At 39.4% G+C, this 25,329-nt stretch overlaps 1 protein-coding gene across 18 annotated transcripts in view, besides 1 other annotated feature; it reads right to left on the bottom strand.

The window, feature by feature from the left end:
• Nucleotides 2,420-2,599: a silencer, noted in NCBI's record as "silent region_2256". NCBI's record gives its function as "represses an Ori minimal core promoter by ATAC-STARR-seq in GM12878 lymphoblastoid cells {active_cell/tissue: GM12878}" and the evidence as "EXISTENCE:reporter gene assay evidence [ECO:0000049][PMID:35858748]".
• The window catches only part of WAC (WW domain containing adaptor with coiled-coil), a 90,334-nt gene continuing 72,703 nt past the window's right edge, over nucleotides 7,699-25,329 (bottom strand). For 12 of the 18 annotated variants that reach the window (XM_047425320.1, XM_047425315.1, XM_047425321.1 and 9 more), the window contains 7 exons: nucleotides 22,380-22,625; nucleotides 19,990-20,112; nucleotides 18,889-19,037; nucleotides 16,126-16,244; nucleotides 14,449-14,638; nucleotides 13,027-13,154; nucleotides 7,699-11,274 (listed from right to left, as the gene is read on the bottom strand). In XM_047425320.1, coding sequence (XP_047281276.1) covers nucleotides 11,205-11,274; nucleotides 13,027-13,154; nucleotides 14,449-14,638; nucleotides 16,126-16,244; nucleotides 18,889-19,037; nucleotides 19,990-20,112; nucleotides 22,380-22,625 — 1,025 coding nt within the window. In that variant the 3' untranslated portion in view covers nucleotides 7,699-11,204. Of the gene's footprint in view, nucleotides 11,275-13,026; nucleotides 13,155-14,448; nucleotides 14,639-16,125; nucleotides 16,245-18,888; nucleotides 19,038-19,329; nucleotides 19,557-19,989; nucleotides 20,113-22,368; nucleotides 22,626-25,329 lie in introns of those variants that run through there. The other 6 variants (XM_047425311.1, XM_047425318.1, XM_047425313.1 and 3 more) reach the window with 3 other exon arrangements.

The following is a 25,329-nucleotide window of genomic DNA, read 5'->3' as shown; positions in this document are numbered from 1 at the left end:
TTTTCAGAGTGGTTAGAATAGGGCAGGCAGATGCTTCCTGCAGCTTCCATGTTGCTAAACAGTTTGCTCCTTTATTCCTTTCCTATGTCCTAGGCGCGGTCTAGACTGCTTCCACTGCTCACGGATCAATGCAGATCTGAGTGGCATGTGCATAGGGTCACCAGAATGGTAGACTTGAGGATCCTCCCCAGCTCAGAAAACTCCTATAAACACCAAAGGATAAACCTGAGGCCAGAAGACAGCCAAAACCAGCCAAGGAATGATACACAAGGCAAGCATTCTCAAAGACACAAAGCTGAGTGTGCTGGGGCTGCTGTTTCCCATCTCACTTCCAGCTTGTCTGGACAGAAGAGCCCCAGAGCTATCAGCTTCCACAGGATGAGAGAGGTTCAGACAAAGAGCAAGAGGGAGTTTGCCAGAGTGTATGACTGCTTCCAGTTTGGGGGCCGGGGTCTTTATTCATTCAGTAATTTTTACCAAGCACTTTATTTTTAAGAGATTGGCTCTTGCTCTGTCACCAAGGCTGGACTGCTGTGGCACAATCATGACTCATTGCAGCCTCGGACTCCAGGGCTCAAGTGATACCCCTGCCTCAGCCTCCCAAGGAACTAGGATTACAGGTGGGTATCACTGTGCCCAGATAATTTTTGATTTTGTTAGAGACAGGGTCTTGAACTCCTGGCCTCAAGTAATCCTCCCACCTTGGCCTCCCAAAGTGCTGGGATGACAGGTGTGAGCCACCACATCTGGCATATGGAGCATCTCTCATGTGCCAGGCCCTACTGTAGGTGTGGGGACCGAGCAGTCAATAAACAAGACCAAGTCCCTGCCCTTGGTGAGTTTATTTATTACTCGAGTAGCAGGAAAGAAACCATAAATACGTTAAAAATAAAATGACCTTTCCTGATACAGATAAATTAGTGTAAACTTAGAGAGGGCCACATGCCATGAAAAAAATACGCAGAGTGGGCCGGGCATGGTAGCGCACGTCTGTAATCCTAGCACTTTGGGAGGTTGAGGCAGGCGGATCACCTGAGGTCGGGAGTTGGAGACAAGCCTGGACAGCATGGTGAAATCCCTTCTCTACTAAAAATACAGAAATTAGCTGGGCATGGTGGCGGGCGCCTGTAATCCTGGCTACTTGGGAGGCTGAGGCAGGAGAATTGCTTGAACCTGGGAAGTGGAGGTTGCAGTGAGCCGAGATTGCGCCACTGCACTCCAGCCTGGGTGACAGAGCAAAACTCCATCTCAAAAAAAAAAAAAAAGAAAAAGAAAATACCCAGAGTGACAGGATAGCGAGACTAGGAAGGGAAGGTCCCCCGGGGAGGGGCACTGCAGCCAAGACCTAGGAGGTGTGAAGGAACCAATCACCTGAGACTCTTGGGGGATCATTCCAGGCAGAGGAAACAGCTGGAGATAGCAGAGTGGATCTGCACTAAGAAGGGGCATTTGCCCAGCTCTTGAACGATGCTGGGTGCAGATACCTAGAGGAAGAGGCGGGCATTCCCAGGAGAAAGGGGCAAGAGGAGCTCTGACAAGGGAGGGCACACACCGGCAGCAGGTAGAAGAAATCAGTGCAATGTTGGGTGGACGTGGGCAGTGGCAAGAGCTGTCAGGGAGGGCTCTGGGTCAGCTTGCTGGCTGGGATGAGCCACCCAGTGACCCCGAGTCCTCTCCAACCTGCTTCTTAGGAGAGGCTGATGCCATCCTATGAAACAAAGCAGCTACTGTGCATGCTCCGGAGGGAGCTTGGCAAAGCCGGCCGAGGGCCTGAATGTTTCCATTCTAGGGTGGTTTTGTGCCAATATATTCTGAACCCAAAATCAAGATTCTTTGTCCATCAGGTATAAGTACACTTATGCTACAGGATGGACTCTGGAGGCCAATGGATAACTCTCCTGTGCTTGCAGCCTGTGACGCAGTCCTGCTCTCAACATGTGGGTGCTGTCCACCTCCCTGACTCTGCAAAAGAAGCCACTGTCCACCCATACCCAGGTAGCTCTGCGAACAAGGTGACTAGAGCAGAGGCAGAAGAGGTTTTCGAGAGGACAAAGCCAGCAGTGGCTCAGTTGTGGAGAGAAGTGAGTCATCATGGTTAAGTAGCCAGCACGTTGTATGCACTTGCACGGTGTCAGGCCCTGTGCTCAGGGCTTTCGTCACCCGTATCCCTGCCAGTCATCCTACATAGGATAAAACAAAACCCAGCATTCTCTGGGTCAAGTTGCTTGTACATGGCAAGTCAACAAGGAGGGGACAGAATGAGGGTTTGAATTCAGTAGATCAGCCTCCTGAGACAATGTATAGAACATCTTCCCCCAAAAGAGGTATATGTTCATTAAGTTCTCCGTCATTTCCCCCTTCCTATGTCTTTAGGGATTTACTTGAAGTTCTGACATTTACTTTGAAAGTGCAACCACCCTTCTCTTGCCCCATCCCTAGTTTCCCAGGGAGGCTTCTCACCGGGTAGTACCGGCTTGCTGAATGTAGCTCAACACCGCCACCTGGTGTTGAAGGCCCACGACAAGCCCAGTGGCCACCACAGACGTGGCTGAGACCCAGTGTTCCTGACCGCTGCTTTAAAAGGTTTTGTATTTTTTTTCGTTCTGACTCCAAAAGAACATGCTCATTGTAAAACATTTCAGTATGCTTGTAGGGAGTAATTGGAAAAGCCTGCTTGCACAATAGAACGTGAAACCTCCTCTGCTTTGACCTCCATAGGGATATTTCTCTAATTATTCCTGTCCCCAAATTCCATCAAATTGTGTTTGCTTTTGTGATGACAGTATATATGTAAATTTTTTTTTTTTTTTGAGACAGTCTCGCTTTGTCACCCAGGCTGGAGTGCAATGGCGCGATCTCGGCTCACTGCAACCTCCACCTCCCAGGTTCAAGCGATTCTTGTACCTCAGTCTCGCAAGTGGCTGGGACTACAGGCATGCACCACCACACCTGGCTAATTTTTGTATTTTTAGTAGAGATGGGGTTTCATCATGTTGCCCAGTCTGGTCTCGAACCCCTGACCTCAAGTGATCTGCCTGCTTTGGCCTCCCAAAATGCTGTGATTACATGTGTGAGCCACCATGCCCAGCTTATTATAGTTATGTAGGATGATGGCTTTATTCTTAGGAGAGTCACACTAAAGTGTGTAGGGGTATGTCCCACCGTTTCTACAATTGGCTTTCAAATGGTTCAAACAAAAGAGCATACAGAGACAGAGAAAGAGAGGTAGAGAAATAGGACCACGTTAATCATTGAATCTCAGTGGGGAATATACGAGTAGGTGCTCACTGTATAGTTCTTTCAACTTTTTATACGTTTGATATTTTTCAAAATAAGAAGTCACAGCATCACTGTTGAGTGAGGAGAGAGGAGAGACAGCTGGAATGTCAAACATCCACACTTAGAAAAGCTGACATGAGTGCCCTTCCATATGAGTGGGACTCCTAGGCACTGCATGGTGCTAACGAGCAAGCTGAATGATGTGGGATGGATTCCAGCCAAGAAACTCAATGGTAGCATTAAACCTTCTTGGAGATATGCAGTCTTCCCCTGCCTGAGAAGTTCAGTGGCCCCAGCCAAACAAAACATGGTAATTCTTACACGGCATTAAATGCAATTCACCAGAGTGATTTGCAGCAAGAACCTCCTATTGACCATCATCAGTGATTCTTTGGAAGCAGAGAGGATGCAGACAAGGGGGTCCCCATGATGAATGGCTGCCAAGGCATCAGTGGAAAGGCTTGACATTTGCTCTGCAGTTTGCATTGACCTTGTCCCCAGGCACAGTTTTCCTCTTTCCTGGTTCAACTACATGGTAACAGCTCAGTTCCTTCCTCTAGTGCTGGACACAGACACATTTCTCTTCCTAGGTTCTCACCTTCATTCTCTACCAGCGGCTTTTCTAACACTTTTCTGTTTTTACACTAAAGCAGGAAATGCTAGCTCCAGCAAAGTCCACATGGAAAATAACAATAGGTGAAGAGACTCGATTAAGGTTCCCAAAGTGCTAGTTGATATCTTGTCTTGCAGGGTTGGGGCAGAGGGGAACGGGCATGTGTGGAAGAAGTAGAATGAAAAGATCTCACTAGGATCGTGGGAACCAGAGAGTGCGTCCATTTCTGAAGTTAATCGCTCCCGTCATCTGACAAATTCTTCTGGGAGACATGCATTTAACCAAAGTAAATGTTGAAAAAATTTTGCAATTGGTTCACATAATTGGAAACCCCACTGAGGGAAAAGCAGTGAAAAGGATTTTGTAATGAAGCCTCTCCTTCCCCAGATCTGCATCTTTTTGTCCCAGGCCTGCCTGCAGGGCTCCACTGTTATGATGTCATCCCTGTGAGATTTCTTGAAGGCAATTCACACTGTGTTCAAACTGGAAAGTTTTTTGCACATTTAAAAGAGGACCCTCGGCTGGGCGCGGTGGCTCACACCTGTAATCCCAGCACTTTGGTAGGCTGAGGCGGGTGGATCACCTGAGGTCAGGAGTTCAAGACCAGCCTGACCAACATGGTGAAACCCCATCTCTACAAAAATACAAAAATTAGCTGGGCATAATGACAGGTGCCTGTAATCCTGGCTACTCAGGAGGCAGAAGCAGAATTGCTTGAACTTGGGAGGTGGAGGTTGCAATGAGCCGAGATGGTTGCAGTGAGGTTGAACCTGGGAAGCAGAGGTTGCAGTGAGCCCAGGCTGCACTCCAGCCTGGGCAACAGAGTGAGACTCTATCCCAAAAAAAAAAAAAAAAAAAAAAAAAAAAAATCAACTAGACAGCCTACAGTGCTATAGAACACTTTTATTTCTCCCGTCTAGCTGTAATTTTATATCCTTTAACCAATTAATCAGTTTCTCCCTATTCCCTCTCCCCTTCCCAGCCTCTAGTAACGACTTTCTACTTCAATGATACCAACTTGTTTAGGTTCTGCATATGAGAAGTATGTATCTTTCTGTTCCTGGCTTATTTCACTTAACATAATGTCCTCCAGGGAATGACAGGATTTCATTTTTTTAATGGCCAAATAGTATTCCATTGTGTATACGTACCACACTTTTATCCATCCACTGAGAGACACTTAAGTTGATTCTCTATCTTAGCTATTGTGAATAGTGCTTGCTGCAGTAAACATGGGGTTGCAGATATCTCTGATACACGCTTTTCTTTAGGTATAGGAAATGCTACTAAAGGAATTGCTGGATCATATGGTGGTTCTATTTGTATTGTTGTTTGTTTTTTAAGACAGTGCCTTTCTGTGTGGCCCAAGCTGGAGTGCAGTGGCATGATCTTAGCCCACTGCAATCTCCGCCTCCCGGGTTCAAGCGATTCTCTTGCCTCAGCCTCCTGAGTAGCCGGGATTACAGGCATGCACCACTGTGCCCGGCCCTATTTGTAGTTTCTTAAGGAAACTCCATACCACTCTCCATAATGGCTGTACTAGTGTCACATTCCCACCAACAGTGATTGAGTTCTCTTTTCTCCAGTCCTTGCCAGCATGTTATTTTTCATCTGATAACAGTCAAAAGTGGAGTTGATATCTCGTGGCTTTGATTTCCATTTCCCTGATTAATGGTATCAAGCATTTTTTCACACCACTGTATTTTAGGTAGTATCTTTGGAACTCTTGTGCTTGTGAAGATACAGACAAGTGTAGCCTGAAACGACTCTTGACATCTTAAAAGTGAGAGCCCTCACCAACCATGGTAGTATTTTCAGCTTATCACTTTTTTAGTTCATAAAGGTAATAAAATGTCAAGGCATCAAAATGTGGGGCAAAACGTGAAATTTAAAAGGCTTATTGACAAATATCTGTTGATTCTCCAACGTGTGTTGATTCTTCTAGGTGATGGGGATACATAAGTCACAAAAATGACAAAAATCACTGTCCTTACATTCTGTTGTCCCAAGATAAAGCCCTTGAACTGCCTACAAGTGTAAGAAACAGTTCATACTAGCACACTTAGATACGCTGATCAAATTGGGCAATTAACAGAAGGCATCTTAAAAAAGGAAGCTCATTTATGGGGAAAAACAATGGCATCAAGTTCTGTTCAATCTTAATCTTCCCATCCATTGCAAAGGCAGGCAATTCTTACATCCTAGCCTTTTTCCTTTAAGATGGGTATGGGTAGTACAGATGTTTCATTAGTGACACAGCTTAGAATGTGATGAGTGCCTGGTTCCTGTTCTAGAAGTCAGAAGGGGGCTGGTTGGATGTCAAAGCATCTTCTAAACCACAGGTGAAACCTGTGAAACCAGGTGACCTAGTGAAACCAGGCCAATCTCCAACCCCCATGCCTCACCCAATCCTGGCTTTAGAAGCAGGGTCACTTCCTCCTACCAGTCCATCTCCCCAGGATTGTCGCATCAGAAGCAGCATCTCATTTCTCATTGGCTTATTTACTCCTAAAACGTGTTCCTCTTAGGAATATGCTTACTGGTCCCTCTTAGGCTATGATTACCGGTTTAGTTGGTTACCCTTGCTTAGAGACTACATATGCTAACAATTTAGGACAGGTTTGCAGTTAGGTTTTGGTGATCAATCGTAAAGTGTAATCATTTTTTTTAAAAAAATGCTACTTGCTGTTCCTCTTCCATCTCTCAAGGTGAGGGGACCAAAATCAAAACGAAGAAAAAAAATTCATTAACCTTTTTACATCTTCACAGGTTCAGATTCGTCCAAAGCCCTTTAAACATTCACAATTCACTCAACACATCTGGTGTTCTTTCGAAGAAAACCTGAGTGAAGAGTGATGGAGGTGTTTTTAGATGGTATGAGCCATCAGCAAAGGCTAAAAAACAAAAAAAGTCTCACTAAGGCTGGTCTCAAACTCAAGCTCAAGCAATCCTTCCACCTTGACCTCCCAAGTGCTAGGATTACAAGGGTAAGCCACTGCACCTGGCCCAGGAACGGCCTCTTTGAGGAGACTGATAAAGGGGCAGCAAGCTGTACCAATTTCTATCACGAGCTTTCTAGGCAGAGGAAAGCAAACCTGCAAGGAGAGACTGCAGCGATGAAAACGTGGCAATAACCAGGGGCTTGAACACGCAAGCCATGGTATGAGCTCTGGGTTTTATTCTGAGTGTGAATCATTGCAGGATTATGAACAGAACAGCCTGGTGGAGAACAGGTTGTGTGTGTGCGGAGGTGGGGTGGAGAAAACCTTGGGAGATCTGAGTAGAAGCAGAAAGGTTAGGAGGTTGTGGCAGGGATTTGGTTCAAAGATGATCGTGGATTGGACTAGAGAGGTGAACATTAAGGAAACATTTTCAAAGAGCTTGTGGGTCTTGATGGATTAAATATCGAGTGTTAGAAAAGAAGGATGACTTGATTTGGGTTTTGGGCAACTTTAACAATGATGGTGTCAATTACTAAAAAACTAAAAGAGAATAATCTGAGGCACAAACCGTGAGTTCTTTTTGGAGTGCATGCCGTGTTAAGGAAAGCATCTAAGTGGACTGTTTTTGGGAACTCAAAGAGATCAGGGCTGGAGATAATCGGGATGTAAAGTAGCACATGAAGGGGTTTTTAGAGCCAAGAGCCTGGATGAGATCTTCTAGACAGGCTGCACTTTAGGGCACTATCAAAGGTCGTGATCAGGAAAAGGAGGGTACCGCAAATTAGAGCAGGACCTAAAGAATCCCAATTTTACGTCATAATTTTCACTAAAATGTTTCAGAGACTATTGAAACACACCGACTGATTAAAATCTCAGCAGTAATCTGTATTTTAAATTTCCTTACTCAAATGCAAATTATGCATTCTAAGACTTTCAAAACACAGTTCTGAAATAACTGCACAATATAGTCAAAACATATTTATTACTTTTCAGTGTCATTTTGTACACTCCCGTACAAATACAAGAATATAGCCATATTTACAGGTATTGAAAAGAAATCTGTATATTCAAACCCAACATCTAAATACAGTAGCTGGAAGTCCTGAACTACAATAGTTCCGGTGCGCAGAGTGAATTATTTCCCGCGTTGCCCTCTCCCCTTTCAAACAGTCCCTCAAAGATATGGTGGTTTTTGAACATAATAAACTGTTTTTGGAAATGGGTAACAATTCCTGGCAAAGTTTTAAGAACCTCCTTCCCAAGATTTTACAAGTGTGAAACAAAGATTTAGAAGAAAAATAAAACTACTAATTTGGACTGTTAAAAGAAGCATAATGTCTTGAAACAGGGCTGAAGCATGTTTTTAGTCTGGAATTGCAGTCATTTTAAAATCAGGTTAGACAAGTTAGAAAAATAAAAAGCGTAGGAAAGCTGGTTCTTCAGGGGAGTCTGTAACCTTCTTTCATCAAATATATTGTTACAATACCACGACATTTTAAAAGTTTGAATAGAGACTACTGATCTTTTAAAACGGGGGGGGGGGGGGGGGGGCAGGGGGAGGGAAAGGCCACTCAAGTTCCCTAGAGGCTATTCAGTACTTCTATTTTCAAAGTATCTAAACCAAGGTACATGTTCAAATCCATAACCAACTAGATAAGGAATACTCTAGTCCAGAACATTATGCTTATTTTAATAGATATTCCCTAGTTAAGGTTAGGAGCTGGATACCTTGTATTAAGGTGCAATATTTAAAATATTTCCACAAAATTTTAGATTTTCTGTGTTTAAAAATTCACTACTGGCCAGGAGCGGTGGCTCACGCCTGTAATCCCAGCACTTTGGGAGGCCAAGGCAGGCAGATCACCTGAAGTTGGCAGTTCAAGACCAGCCTGACCAACATGGAGAAACCCCATCTCTACTAAAAATACAAAATTAGCCAGGCGTGGTGGTGCATGCCTGTAATCCCAGCTACTCGGAACGCCGAGGCAGGAGAATCGCTTGAACCCAGGAGGCAGAGGTTGCGGTGAGCCGAGATCGTGCCATTGCACTCCAGCCTGGGCAACAAGAGTGAAACTCTGTCTCAAGAAAAAAAAAAATTCACTATTAAGAAATACCAAATTAGGCATCTTCTCCTAAATATATGTGACTAATTCATTTAGGGATGTAAACTTTTTTGAAAAACAAAACATAGGTACACAGACCAGTAGACTATAAGCAAATCAAATTCAAATTTACCTAAATCACAAATTGCCATCTGATCAGGAAACATTTGCCTATTACAACAAATTGCTCACTTCTTTCCAGGAAAGATACAGTAAGGTTTCTAGCTGAACACACAGCTCTTTGGGGTTTCATTTACATGCACTAGTTAAATTCAGCAGATGTTAACAATCTCACAGAGGTATAAACATGACAATAAATTAATGACATGTCTTTTCTTACATTTAAAAAGTATCCTTAAATTACAGGAAAATATCTTCAAGATTTTAATTCCTTTTAATTACACTGGAACATTTTTGTATTTTAGAAAACACCAACACTATCGCTTACAGTTAACTTTTTGAGCTTACTGAAAAGCCTGAACATTTAACTTCCATACTTTCAATATATGCTTAAAGCACAAGAGCAATTTCAAAATTTATGTTAGCATCCGAGAATGTAGTAACATTGACATTGATGTCTAACATAAAAAATAAGCCCTTGGTGCTGCCAGTTTTGGAAGCACTTATCTGCCCCAACAGAAAAAAAAAAAAAAAAAAAATCACCAAAAAACCCTAAACCAATTTAAAGAAAAAAAAGAAGAAGAAGAAGAAACACCTTTCTAAATCAGATGGCAAGATTTTGATGGTAAAGGTTTTTTTGTGGGGGAAGAAAAGATTTTTTTCATGCGGAAACCCTTGTGATTTGATACATTACTGGCAGTGTGAAGCTAAGGCTATGTGACTAATATTTCAGCAAAGGAAAAAAAAAGTCAAGGTAATTTTATAGTAGCAATAGTTTCTTTTTTTATTTTAATATACTTTAGGAAACAATATACAAAGCTGCGCTTTCCTGCTATTTCCAGATAACAGCAGGAAGCTCCAATTACACAAATTTAGCGTTTTGTGATGGCTAAGAACAGCAGTCAGCACCAGACTTGAACAGTTAGCTACAACACAAACATCCTTCCAAATGAAATGTCATAATAGCAAGACAGGTAAACCAGGGTTTAACAAATGACAACCACTTGGGAAGTGACTTAATCATTCTTGTTGAATTTCTTATTTCATTAAATATCTCATACACAATTTCCTGTTAATACGTTTTAAACAAAACCTCCCTTAAGGAATTATTTCAATTAAGTATAAATATTCAACAAGAACAGTTCTGATAAAGAATCCCCAGGTAGTTCAAATGCTAATGTGCACTGACCGAAGGAAAAGAAAAATAACAATTTTTGTTTGTTTTAACATGTTTATTACAACAGATACAATTCACATCTGACTAGCTCTGTTTCCTCTTTCCCCTCCCACAACCACGTTCATTGGGCCATTTCCTTATATTTGAGCAATCAATGTACTTTGAGCACACATGCCTGTCCAGCAGTACTTTTAAGTCCATTCTTAACAGGGTGCAAATGGATTTCAATAATTTATACAAACAAGTAGGTTATGCTCAATCACTGCAATTTTAAGCTACTGTACACAGGAATGAAAAGGTTATAGAAAAGTGCCATAGCAACAGTGCCTTAAGAAAGGAGATAAAGAGGAGCCTTAAAAAAATGGATAAAATCAGAATTTCAGAAGGAAATGGAAACACACGGGAAATGAAAAACATTTCTCTGCAAAACAAATGGAGAAGCACTGCTCTTGATCAGGTGCAAGTGTGGAAACAGTTGTTTCATATTTTGTACACTGCCCATATGGTTCAAAATCGTATCCTTAGACACAAATCGCCTGGCGCTTGCACTGAATTTTTGAAAATGCAAGATTTCTGAATGATAAATTAACCCCCCCAATTTTTTTTTTTTTTTTTTTAAAAAAGCTAATTTTGCAGACAGGTTTACATGTAAAAGGCTAGGTATTTAGCCACCTCAGCATTGATTAGTTTTGGATGTCTAAGCTCTGTTACACATGGCTTCCCATGGCTTCACTCTACAAAACATATTTACAACGTGAAGGATACATCTACAAGAAATCTACATTTCAAGGGTTTTACAAATCAATCTTGTATCTTTCCCCTGAATTGACTCTCACAGACCCCGTCCCCTTGTCATTTCCTTTGCCCAGCTTAACGGTCCAAAGTCTACTTAAATGCAGCTCAAAAATGTTAAGATTGGGCAACAGATTTACAGTTCCTGTTCTCAAAACCATGTGCAATTATTCACATCTTCACACCATGAAGGAATTCTGATTTTTTAGCTTTTCAAGTTCCTTAATTTGTTGTCTCAAAAATAGTATCCTGAAAAAAAAAAGCAGACATTAGAACCTGTGTACATATACAAATATTACAGAAAACCCGAGCTTTTATAATTAAAATTTTTTAAATTAAAACAAGTGATTTCTAATTAAGGCAAAGAAATTTAAAAAATTATTTAACTATAAATTGGTTTACAGTTAAGACAAAGTAAACATTTAATACATAATATCTATTAAAGTATAAGGATGATGAAAGGATGTTTTAGTTTTCAAACAACTTTTTATTTTATTTTATTTTTTGAGACAGAGTCTTGCTCTGTTGCCCAGGCTAGAGGGCAGGGGTGCAATCTTGACTCACTGCAATCTCCGCCTCCCGGGTTCAAGCAATTCTCCCTGCCTCAGCCTCCTGAGTAGCTGGGATTACAGGCACCTGTCCTTACGCCCGGCTAATTTTTATATTTTTAGTAGAGACAGGGTTTTGCCATGTTGGCCAGGCTGGTCTTGAACTCCTGACCTCAGGTGATCCGCCCACCTTGGCCTCCCAAAGTGCTGGGATTACAGGCGTTAGCCACCGCGCCCAGCCTTTTCTAACAATTTCTTAATAATTCCTTTGGCTCTAACAACTTAAAATGTATTACTTTATAAACCGTATCATCACAATAAAGAAAGCAGTAGCTATTATACATGAAATAAACCTATACTGCATGTTTTCTGGCCCACTATACAGTAAAGAGTAGAATTAACCAGGTGTAAGAGATTAATCATTTAGAAGAGCAATTCTCAATGTAGATGTAGGTACATAAAAATGAAGCCAAAAACCAAAAGTTGAAACACACAAACCCCAGTTACCCAGATTCCCATGAACGTAAAAATATTTCCTGTTTTTACTCTTCTCTTCTGGGAACTATAATATTTATTGCCTGTACACATGAATTAGGCATAATCAGGCTGGCTTGATATTTGACTGTATATACTGTTTTCCTAAGATGCAATAATGAATAATTTCCCAAAAGTCGAATGATGTAACAAGCCAAAATGAAGTTTGTTAGAACTACTTTCAGAGCAATCTGACTATAAGAACCCAAGTTGTTACTCAGAGAGTACCTCCAGATATTTTAGTAACTGTAAATAAACTTACTTTTTCAAGTTGTACTATAAACTCCATTTGGTATTTACTAAATATTTATGGTTTCTTGACAAGATTCAATCGACCTGTAACTCTGTGACTTGCACAGACAGGACATAAAGCCATTGCCAAGTTTGTCCTCAATTCTGTAATAGGCATTAAAAAATAATACCTATGCTATTATTATTGTGACCTAGATATTCTACTTGAGTGAAACACTAGATTAAGAAATACAAGACAAGAGTTCAGGTGAAAAATACTAAGACAGCAGATACACTAAACTTGCTAGACAAATTCTTTCTATACTTTTCAAGGGATCTATTGATGATGCAAGGACAAATAATCTGAAATTTCAATGGAAACACCCTCAGCAAGAGAGGACATTTATAATTAGTTGTGGTCAATATTTCATTTTTTCAGTAATATATTATTGCAGCTTATGGAGTTATGAGAAAAGTCTAATGAAGCATTCATCATGGGTTAAGAGAAAATCGACAGGCTTTATCCTTCACGAGAAATATTAACTTATGAAAATGCAGTGATAGAATGTGATCAATGTATCGAAGAGAACTTTACATTTCATAAATAAAATGTGATTTACATTCTTTAGTTCGATTTAAGAATCATAATCCTGAGAAACATAAAAATATATTTCAGTGAAAGACTTACCTTTGCTCTCGCAAAGTTGCTTGAATTTCACATACTCGGACTAAAGATCTTAAATTTTTTAATTCAGTACAAATTTCGGACATGTGAATAGTTCCCATGTTATGCGCTTCTTCGCGTAATCTTGATGCCTGTAATTAAAGAAATGAAGAAAACATAAAATATAAACATTAACATACACAAAATAAAACATTAAATTTCTGAGTACAATTTTATACTAGGATTAGAGAATAATCCTTTTCCCTTCAATACACAAAAATGCTGGTGAACCTAATGGGGAAAATTAATTTGTTTTAAGAAACTGTCTCTAAGGGTGGAAGGTACTTATTTTAATATTTCTCTTCTAAGTTGGAGAAAATAGGATTTCCAACCTGAAGCTAATACAGCACTAAGAAAGGACTCATAATTTGTGGTTAATAAAAGATGCTGGGTCAGCCAAAGAGATTGTCATTTCTGCAAGTTCAGGTATTAGATATTGATTCAAGAGCCTCACTATACTCCTCTATCGTAAGACACACAACATATTCTCTGTAAACTTTCGAACACCCCAGATGGTCAGTTATCTGATAAAAAGCAAGAGGCAAATGGCAGTAACTGGAATGTCCTAAGGTCTCTCATCCCAAAGCAAAAATGTTTCCTAACTTCCAGTTGCTAGTCTAGTGAGAGAGTCATAGAAAATTAAGTGGGGTTTTTTTTTGTTTTTTTGAGACAGAGTCTCACTGTGTCACCCAGGCTGGAGTACAGTGGTGCAATCTCGGCTCACTGCAACTTCTGCCTCCTGGGTTCACGTAATTCTGGTGCCTCAGGCTCCCGAGTAGCTGTAATTACAGGTGCATGCCACCATGCCTGGCTAATTTTTATACTTGTGGTTAGAGATGGGGTTTCACCATGTTGGTCAGACTGGTCTCGAACTCCTGGCTGGCCTCAAGTGATCCACCTGCCTTGGCCTCCCAAAGTGTTGGGATTACAGGTATGAGCCACTGCGCTTGGCCAGTAGATTAACAGTGCTAATGGAATCTGAAACTATCAGAGAAGCTGAGTGGAAAAAGTACACTGGCTTTGAGCCACATCACTGTTAACTGGGTGACCCTGGGATCAAGGTCTTATGCACTATTTGGTCTTAAGGACTTCAACTCTATCTACACTGCTTAGCTGTTTTAAGAAGTAGAGAAAATAAATATAAGGCATTAAGCACTGAGCTAACTGCTGAGTACTTGACAACAGTGCCTATAATTATGTTAAAATATTTTGTAAAACCAGAAAAGTTATCTTATATATCAAATATTTTTTAAATGACTACAAAGTTAGAGATTCATTATTTTAAATATTGCTTGAATTCAGTGGTCACATTAGATTCTCTAGAAGTTGATTAAATTCTGTTTTGCTAATCATCCAAAGGTAAAATCTAGGCTGTACATAACATACCTGCTTCTCTGCATGATCTGCAGGCCATCCTTGAACGTGTTTTATGAGATTTTCACTGAAGTGTGCTGCTAGTGCAGGCGTTAATGAACACGTGGATCGGGCAGAAGAATTCTGTGGTACAACTGTTGCATTTGATGCATTACTACTATTAGAAGTATGATTGGGACCAGGTGATGGACTTCTCTGGCTACTAGAAAACAGAATTGAATGTGTAGTATGTTTAAAAGTAGTTTCTGGGTATCCTTATCCTAGAAACTGCATGTTAATACCTTTTATTAACTTAAAGATATCCAAATTCCTAAGAAAAATTTGTTATTTTAATGTCAAATAAAGAGAATTAATAATCCAAAGTATATGATTCCTCAAAACACTTTAGGGGGAAAAAACCCTTTTAACACTACTGTCAGAGTCAAATGTAAACTACTCTCCAAATCTGAGAGCAGAACCTGTTAACTTTGTGTACCACAAACACTAATAATATAACTAAAAAAAGTCACATTTTAACAGCTGTAGATGCACATCTGAAGACTGCTCATACACATCTAGATAAGGGGAAAATATATATTGCCTTTGTTCAACGTCAGAACTGCTGAATCAGAGGGTGAAATAATGTGAAGCAAAATACAGACATTTTATTGGATAGCACTGAACAAGCACAGTGGCAAAACAAAACCAAAAAAATAACACTCTGAGATTCTTTATCTTCTTTTAAAACTGAATGGTTTGGGCCAGGGTTGGGGATATGGTGGTGAGAACCAAAAAATTTAATCACCCAAGTTGATCTCCTACCTGCTTCACCAGACTTGGCTCTGAATGAATTTCAGTTATTTCCAAAAACTAAATCTCCCAAAGGATGAAGAGTTTTCATCACTGAGGATATTTAAAATAATACTGCAGCCTCTAAAAACAATTTAAAAGAAGAATTTCCCAAAAATGTTCAGAGCAATGGCAACATTGCTGGAGTAAGTAGACAGCTTCCCAAGGTCATTATTTTGAAGGGAACAACTCTCATTTGGAGGTGTAAGTTCTGAAATGCTTGTTTAGAAAACAACAATAAAAACAACAGTTGAATTATTTTGCTACCTCATAGCATGAAATAAAAAACAGGAAAATCAATCAAATGAAAACCATTCATTCAACAAATGTCATTTAAAGTTGTGTTGTTAATGAACAAAGAAAAGTGCTAACACAATACAGCAGTATAGAACTATCTAAAAAGCCATCCGTATAGGGTCACAGTTAAGCTATTGGGAAAGCCTGACATATACCAGTTGGGAAACATTGGCCCAAGTTTTAGATACCAGACTTTGGCTTTCATCAATATACTCAAACCAAAACTGCTATGAGGAGGTTAAAAAGTAAGGTAATTCCAACAAATATTGTAAAATCGTGTGCCTTTCTGGTACAAGTATCACAAATCTTTAGCCCCGTCATATTCCACTGTGTAAAATTTTAAAGAGCCACTTTCTTCAAAATAACCCGGGCTTCACTACTAGAGACAATAACCTACCTCTTGTATACAGGTTTGTCTTTGTAAATTTTACAACATGTAAGCCTACTTTAGGGTATTCATGGAGTTTAAAGGTTAAGTTCTATTTTACAGATATAATATTCAAACAATGCAGTGTACCATCATTAAATAAAACAATGTGGTCTCAATATACAATATCAACCTACCTTGAGCGCTGAAGACTTCGAGGAGAGACAGGTTCATGACCTTGCTGCTTGTCAGCAGTTACAGGCTGCTGTGTGGCTGACTGTGACACTGGTCCTTGCTTAACTACTGGAGTACTAACCTGAAATGTCAAAATCTGGTGAGATGGTCTCCAAATCTAATCCACATCTCTCCCCCCAAAATCTAGGTAATCGTCTTGAAACATGTAAAATGTGGCAGTCAAGTTCTGAAACTTAGATCTCATTTCTTTGTGAAAATGGCCCAAGGTCATAAAATTACTTCCCTATCAAACTAGGGCTGGGCGCGGTGGCTCACGCCTGTAATCCCAGCACTTTGGGAGGCCGAGGCGGGCGGATCACGAGGTCAGGAGATCGAGACCACGGTGAAACCCCGTCTCTACTAAAAATACAAAAAATTAGCCGGGCGCAGTGGCGGGCGCCTGTAGTCCCAGCTACTCGGGAGGCTGAGGCAGGAGAATGGCGTGAACCCGGAAGGCGGAGCTTGCAGTGAGCGGAGATCGCGCCACAGCACTCCCGCCTGGGCGACAGAACGAGACTCCGTCTCAAAAAAAAAAAAAGTAACTAGTTCTCCTTTACAGCTCAGTTTTCTTTCCAATACATTATTATCTCTTCTGATTTACTGTTACTTTTATATCAATAAAAGTAAATTATGTATGCTACCACATCATACACATATGGATGCTTAGATTTTAATGATATGGAGAAATATGTGATTGGGCTATCAGAAAATGAGTTATGGCCCATATAAAGTTCAACATGAGAGTTTTTCAAAGAGATGTTACTCTACAGAGGTAGACTGAAGTCCATGATTGCCAATCAGGATATGTATTATATTCAGAAGCCACATAGAGAAAAGCAGTTTAAAATATAAGCTCTAAATTGAGGCACAAAGGCAGATGGAGTCCTTTGTGATTAAGTCACACCTCACTGCTGTTTTTCTTTTGGTGGGGTGAGGGGATATGATTAATAATTCTCCCTAACAAATCTGGAATGTCCTGCTTAACTTCTGAATATTACCTATCAATTCTAGTCAAGTCTTATAAAGAACATTTTATAAGCACTACATAAAAGCTCAAATGTTCAATTATTTTAAAAACAACTTGAAGAAGTTTTTGGAACACAAAAAACGAACAGCTACCTGCTTAAAGGATTTTTTTTTTCCAGACAGGGTCTTAGTCTGGTTGCCTACTCTCAAGTGCAGAGTGACGTGATCTTGGCTCACTCCAACCTTGAATTCCCAGGCGCAGGTGATTCTCCTACCTCAGCCTCCTGAGTAGTGCACATCACCATGCCCAAGAAAGTTTTTCAGAGTTTCACTCTCTTGCCCAGGCTGGAGTGCAGTGCCGTGATCTTGGCTCAACTGCACCTCCACTTCCCAGGTCAAGTGATTCTCATGCCTCAGCCGCCCGAGTAGCTGGGATTATAGGTCTGTGCCAGCACACCCAGATAATTTTTGTACTTTTAGTAGAGACCGGGTTTTGCCTGTTGGCCAGGCTTGTTTCAAACTCTAGGCCTCAAGTGATCTGCCTGCCTCGGCCTCCCCCAGCAAATTTTCAAATTATTTTTGTAGAGATGGGGTCTTGCTATATTGCCCAGGGCCTAATTCAATCCTCCTGCCTTGGCCTCCTAAGTGCTGTAATTATAGCTGTGAGCCACCGCGCCCAGCCTTCTTAAAGGAGTTGAAATGCTCAGTTTACAAGTGACTATAAAACCAATACTACCACTTATTTCACTTTTAACCACTATTTACTATACTCTTAAAATGCCACCCTGAAGACAAGTTCTAAGCTCCAAAAATAACATCTCTTTTGCCAAAACTCACATTTTAATTCTTTCCTCCTTAAAATACTGGCAAATGATAAGGAACTGCATAATAAACTAACAACTGTAACTTGGAATTTTAAAAATCAATCTAAATTGACCCTAAAACATGCAATGATCAATGGCCAAGGTAGGGAAGGGATGAACAAACGGGAAGACTTAAAAGCTGACCAACCACCTCTTTCAAGTTATATTTCAATGCATTTTTATTTTTGGGCTTCTGCTTAATATCTTACAAAGAATTATTTGGCATTAAAAAGTCTGAAACAGCCCACTGTTTCAAAACTACTCAAAAGAAATTCCCCCTACATTTACCATTTAGACCAGCAATTTTCTAACTGCACCTATGGAGCCAACCATGTAAGATTCTGCTGGGACAAATACAGGCAATATAAGCTTAGTAAAATGGGTCCCTGTATTCACAAACACCTAGGTTTCAAATTCTGACTCTACCACAAAAACTTAACTGAGAGTTTGATTTTCTCATCTATTAAATAAAGCAAGTGATTCTCACGATGTGAAAGCTAAACATACATTAAGTTCTTAGCACAGAAACTGCCTCATTTTTGAAATACAAATATGGAAAAGTCACTGGAAAACATGTTCATTCATGTCTTTTGGAGTTTGAAAATTCTACAAATATTAAGACTCAGTATATCCTCTTTATCTCACTCTCCATGTGACAAATCCCAAAACCATTAGGGAACAGACTCAGATGGTTTATTAAAGTAGCACAGATTCAAAGCCCCCCTCTATCCCTCAGTGAACTGAGAAATTCTAGGCTGCATCTACTATCATACCTGTCATTCATTCCACCACTACACCTCATTCTCAGAGGGCTTTTTCTATAACAGATTCTAAAATGTTATTGACTTTCCAAAAGTAAGTAGTTTCTTTTCCGAATGTCCCTCAAAGGTGACATACCTTTGGCTGTGATGAAACAGGAGGAGTACTGATCAAAGGTTTGATAGGGACTGTGTTAGTTTGAGGTGTGCTTATTCTTGGAGAAACATATGATCTTGGGGATGACGCATCAGATGTTAAAGACATCGGAGACTGATTAGATGGCTGGGCTGTAAAAGAGGGAAGCAATTAATTTTAAAGAAAAACAAAACAAAACAAAAAACTAAAGTCCTTTGTAATATATGTGGCAAAGATATTTGTATTACTCTAAACCCCCCCACCCCCATATTACCCAGAGAACACTTATTGGAATAAATCAGAATCTGACCTTCTCACTGGGCCACACTGACTAAGTGAGCTGTGTGTTCAGAGGTAAGCACACCCAGTGTGGCCCACTCTCCTTTATGTGGCTGGAACAGGAAGCTAGGCCTGAACCTAATCTCACATGGAAGGCCTCCTCACCATCCTTATTTCTTCTTTCTTATTCTACATTTAGGCCCAGGTATCCCACGCAGTCTCCTGCTCATGAGGCTAGCCAGAGGGTTGCAAGAGTCTTTGCACCATTATACTTCCATTCCAGACAAGGCATTCCTGCTGTTTATCAGCTTTCTGACAAAGTGACCCTTTCACTTCCCATTTGCTCCTATGTGTATCTCTCTCCATTTGGATACCTTCATGAAGAGGGATATCTAATTCAAGGCAGAAAATGAGCATTTCCATATTATCCAGTCAAAAAACATCTAACGTCAATCTGAACCAAACTTCAACTCTTCAAATACATGCAATGTTTCACAAAGATATATGGCACATCATAGTTTACTTTCAGCTTTGGCATAAAAAAACTCATTAATAACAAAGTCTGAATTAAATACTGTCTTAAATAATTACAGATTTGATGGCAATACCTTAAGACAAATGTCAAAGCTTGCTTCATCTAAAAAGAAAGGAAATAAAAATACTACTGTATATGCCAGTGTTACAAAAAAAACAAAATTATTGTAGCTAATCTCTTAAAAAACTAAAAAAAAAAATGAAAGAAAAAACTAAATACAAAAAAGGGCTATTAATTCCAAAACAAAATCAAGATGCCATTCTAGAGATATCTAAGATGAGTAAGAATACCTTGTGTAGAGAGCTGAGCAGCTTGAGAAATCAGAGACGTTATGTTGAAAGCAGATGGTCCAGCAGTAAGAAACTTATGAATTATAGACTGCAGTGAGGCTTGTGTCACAGCTGCTGTAAGAACTAAAAACATATTATTTCATACATTCATATAAAAACAAGAGGCTTATGTGGCATTAGTAACAACCTGACAAGGAAGAGAACTCACAAGAAACTGGAATATTTCAACCTAGAACTCTCAAAATAAAAGCCTACTAGATAGGAGTAATACAATGGGTCCCAAATTTGAAATGATCTGAGGCAGAGAAAAAGAAACTTAATGGGTTTACAATAAAGGTAAACCAACAGAGTTTCTTTTACACTAATTAAGATGATCACCTGAACAAAGTCTCTCTACAAAATTTAACGAGTGTTCACAGGAACTTCCAATTATGTCAGAAACCTATTCATATGTGAGTGTTCAGTATGTTATATGGAATTAACTGGATAAACAACTGCTATTTCATGTGATTGCCCTTTTAGACAAGCTGGCCATTCAAATCCTATATCAAGATCCACCCTAATAAATCTAAAAATGGATACAAAAAAGGGAGTATTGGCCGGACATGGTAGCTCACACCCAGCACTTTGGGAGGCTGAGGCAGGTGGATCGCCTAAGGTTAGGAGTTCAAGAGCAGCCTGCCCAACATAGTGAAACCCTGTCTCTACTAAAAATACAAAAAATTAGCTGGGCATAGTGGCAGGTGCCTGTAATCCCAGCTACTAGGGAGGCTGAGGCAGGAGAATCGCTTGAACCTGGGAGGCAGAGGTTGCAGTGAGCCGGGATTGCACCACTGCACTCCAGCCTGGGCAACAAGAGCAAAAACTCCATCTCAAAAAAAAAAAAAAAAAAAAAGTATTTAGGAATACCATGTATTTTTGATGTGTAAGATATTTTATTATTGACATTAACTATTATTTCTTCAACTATTTATTTTGGAGACAGGGTTGTGCAATCACAGCTTACCATAGCCTTCACCTTCCAGGCTTAAGTTATTCTCCCACCTCAGCCTCCCAAGTAGCTGGAACTACAGGCGTTCACCACCACACCTGGCTAAGTTTTTGTATTTTTAGTAGAGATGGGGTTCACCATGTTGCCCAGGCTGGTCTGGGCTTAAGTGGCCCACCAGCCTCAGCAAGTGCTGGAATTACAGGCATGAGCCACTGCATCTGGCCTCCTCAAACTATCTAAAAGCCCCACTTTGCCTAAATGAAACATTTACCTACCACACAAGAGAACTGCGTGGTTAGAGAATAAAATAAAAATACAAAAAAATTAAGGACAGTAAGAACAGACTAATGACCAACTAGCCTGAGATAGCTTTATTTTTAGGATAAGAACTTAACCACTTAACACTACTTTTAAGTATATTATGTGAAAATGTACATAAAAATTGATCACTTTATTTTTATTTATTTTGAGATGGGGTCTTGCTCTGTCAGCCAGGTTGGAGTGTACAGGCACCATCTCAGCTCACTGCAACCTCCGTCTCCTGGGTTCAAGCGATTCTCGTACCTCAGCCTCCCGAGTAGCTGGGATTCACAGGCATGTGCCATCACGCCTGGTTAACTTTTGTATTTTTATTAGAGATAGCGTTTCACCATCTTGGTCAGGCTGGTTTCAAACTCCTGACCTCAGGTGATCCACCCGCCTCGGCCTAAAAATTTATCATTTTCAACAGAAAATTTTGCAGTGCTTTTAGGAATTAACGTGTGAATCTGAATAGTTTCCAAATTAACACATCTACTTTTATTCATACTTTTTCAAAGTGGCTGACTAAATATTCTGAAACGTAAGTAGCATTACTGAAAAGCAAGGCTGGAATTAAATAATGCAATTCACCAGGAAAAAAATGGCAACATTTTATCTAGTACCTATCTCCTCCCTTCTCAGAATTTTTTGAAAGTATTTTAAGTAGCTACCTGAATTCCTACTTTTCTAGTAATTAGCATATTTTAAATATTCTGAGTAATTATTTATACAGGTTTTTTAGAAACATACCAGAAGTTTTAATACCGATTTCAACAAACGCTCGATTGTTTTAATGTAAAATTTCACCATACACATTATGTATATAGAATGGCTTACCTCCAGTAACTACCAGACACATAACAAGTATTGAAAAATATACACAAGATCCAAGCACCACTAACTCAATTATACTACCAATGGTCTTAAACTACAGTGGATATAAATTTCCAAACTCCAAAAACAAAAAACAAAACAAAAAAAAGTGTTCAACTATAAATTTCAAAAGAAAACAAAGACCATTCCTAAACTGGGGATTTTACTACTTACATAACTTTGCACAATGCAAATAAATTTTTAAAAAACTGTTATGAAGATTTACCTTCATTTATTTTAGATATGTCCACATTAGAATTATTAAGCTGCAGCGTGGCTTGCAAAGCAGGAAGCAATTGTCTAAGAAGATTTGGGTCCTGAAGTAAGGGAGGTATTGGCGACTGTGGAACAGGAGAAACAGGGACCGCTGAAGCAGATGTTGGAGGTGCAGATGTGGGGTTCAGTCCAGAGGCAGAAGACGTGGAAGGAGTTGTGCAAGAATGTGATACGGGTTTGTCTCCTGATGTAGATTCTAAATAAAAAGATAATCAGCCTGAAAAATTACCTGAATAGAGAAAATTGGAACAAACATCAAAGGAACACCTCTCATGTGCCAGGCACCTAACGTAAGTAATCTCATTTAACCCTTACACACTGGAGCACACAGAAGATGCTCAGTAAACATTCACATGACTAGAATAATGATTTAGACATTTCTCACCCTATTTCATAGGTAAGAAAGCTGAACAAGAAAGGTTAGATAACCTGAAGCCATAAAACCTGGTAAATCATACCCATATCTGATTTGAAAAGTACCAATCTGTCTACCACCAATGCTATCTCAAAGATAATTATTTATTAACCACACATTCAAATAAGCTTCCATTAGGATAAAAGGACAATATAATTCTACAGGATTTAATTTATATCTCATGAAATAAGGTGAAAAATGTTTATGGCCACAGTAACAACCTACCTCAATAAGACACTGGTCTTAATACAAATCAGGGTAGGTACACCAAGGTGGTTACACCCAAAATGGGCTAAAGATGTGATGAGAAGAGACTTTTATACTTAATAACTGAGTTTTGTAACTACATACTTCCCTTTTGTAATTCAATATATAAGGCAATGAGCTATTTGTTTCATTTTAAGATTATTAAAAAGGACACTTTAATATTAAAAACAACCCACCTCATAGTATTTAGAAATAAAGGATGTATAAAATACGCATGGAAAATTATTTGAAAGCTGTTGTTTCAATTATTTATATAGATTTAATGTAACTGTAATCAAAGCCCCAAGAGCACTGTTAATACTATTTGACAAGCTAGTAACATAAATCCTGAAGATTCCATAACCTGAAGAAAAAGAACACTGCCAGCAGGACATGCCCTGCCAAATATAAAAACTTACATTTAAAACAAAGCCAGTTAAAGGTAGACTGAACTTTTGTGTAGGTATTTAAGTCTTTAAAACTCTTAGAGGAAAACACAGAAAGGTATCCATAACACCAAGCAGATGTGTAAAGTTACAAAAAGCAGAACAATTATATTCAAAGTAGTGGTAATCAGACTATTTAAAGAATTTCTATACGTCAAAATAGACAAACTGCCCAATAGAAAAATGTACAGAAGACATTATTTCAAAGAAGGAACTTGAATGCCTAGGAAATTCAAGAAAAGATGCTCAACTTCATTCAGAATCAGGACAATGTAAAATAAAGCAACATAACCCTTTACACTCACCATAATGCAAAAATTTTAAAGTCAGACATACCAAATGTTGGCAAAGAGTAATGAGAACATTTACTCAACATTTCTGATGGATAATAAATTGATATAACCACACTGGAAAGTAATTTGGCATTATTTAGAAAAGTTGAAGATACGAACACTACATGACCCAGTAATTCCCCTTTAGGTACACACCCTCAGTGAAACTCAGATATATGTAAATCAGGAGAAAATTCAAAGACTATCACAACAGCACTCTGTTTGCTTTTAGTATAAAACTAGAAACAACCTATTTCTTTAAGATTTTCAAGATCATATATACAGTACTAGCAAGCTTATTGAAAACAGACTCCCCTATGAGTCTTTTTACACTACTATAATGGTCGAAAGAACTAGGGATAATAGCTCTCTAAAGTGTGGATCTCACAGCTGATTTAAGTACATTTCAAAAATGTGTTGATTAACCATGATGAACTCAGAAGGACTAAGATATTTTTATTTGCGTAAGGGTATACACTTTTAAAGGAAGGTGCTTGAATCCAGCAGACTGCCTATTATTTTCAGCTTTACTGTTCTGGATTCATAGACAAGCATAAAGAAACTCAAATAAAACGATAAATGTTTTCCTTGCGAAAATTCTGCTGTCAGATGGACGTGGTGGCTCACGCCTATAATCCCAGCATTTTGCAAGGCTTGAGCCCAGGATTTCCAAGACCGGCCTGGGCAACACGGCAAAACCCCGTCTCTACTAAAAATACAAAAAATTAGCCAGCTGTGGTGGCTTGCGCCTGTGGTCCCAGCTACTCAGGAAGCTGAGGTGGGAGAACCACCTGAGCCACGAAGTCGTGGCTGCATTAAGCCGTGATTCAGCCACTGCAATCTAGCCTAGGCAATGGGAGTGAGGCCCTGTCTAAAAAAAAAAAAAACCAAAAAACTGCTGTCAGCTATTGTATTTTATGGGGCAATCAATTATAGAGCATATTAGCAGTATTCTCCAGATCACATCCCTCTTAAAGGTTCTTTCACACACAACTTGGGGGCATCCTGATTAATATTAATAATGAAATAAACTCTTTATTTCTACTTACTGCATGAATTAAACTAGTATTAATATCCCCCTGAAATTATCCTCATTCTTTGTTATTTCTGTAAATTTTCTTCTGCTTTTAACAGAAACAAGTTGGAGAAGAAAGTGCAAGGTGTTTACAATTTTATTTGGTGCTACCAAATCTACGAGACATGAAAATTAGCAGAAGGGCTTAAAAATCCTTCAGTGTTGCTCATCAAGCCAAGCAAAAGGGAAAATACTCCAAAATAAAAAAAATACACATCATCATTAACAAAAAATAACAAAAACATCCTTAATTTCTGTTTATTTACCCCAAGGATAGACTTCTTTTGCAGTTTTGGGGAATTACAGGTGAGTAGTGTGGAAACCAGTTGATTCTACTTAATATTTATGGGACTCTTGGGCAAGTGACATCTCTGAAGGCCACAACT

The sequence above is a fragment of the Homo sapiens genome, chromosome 10 (assembly GCF_000001405.40).
Source record: "Homo sapiens chromosome 10, GRCh38.p14 Primary Assembly".
Taxonomy (NCBI): domain Eukaryota; kingdom Metazoa; phylum Chordata; class Mammalia; order Primates; family Hominidae; genus Homo; species Homo sapiens.
The sequence above is the reverse complement of the archived record's forward strand: the minus strand, read 5'-3'. Positions and strand labels throughout refer to the sequence as shown.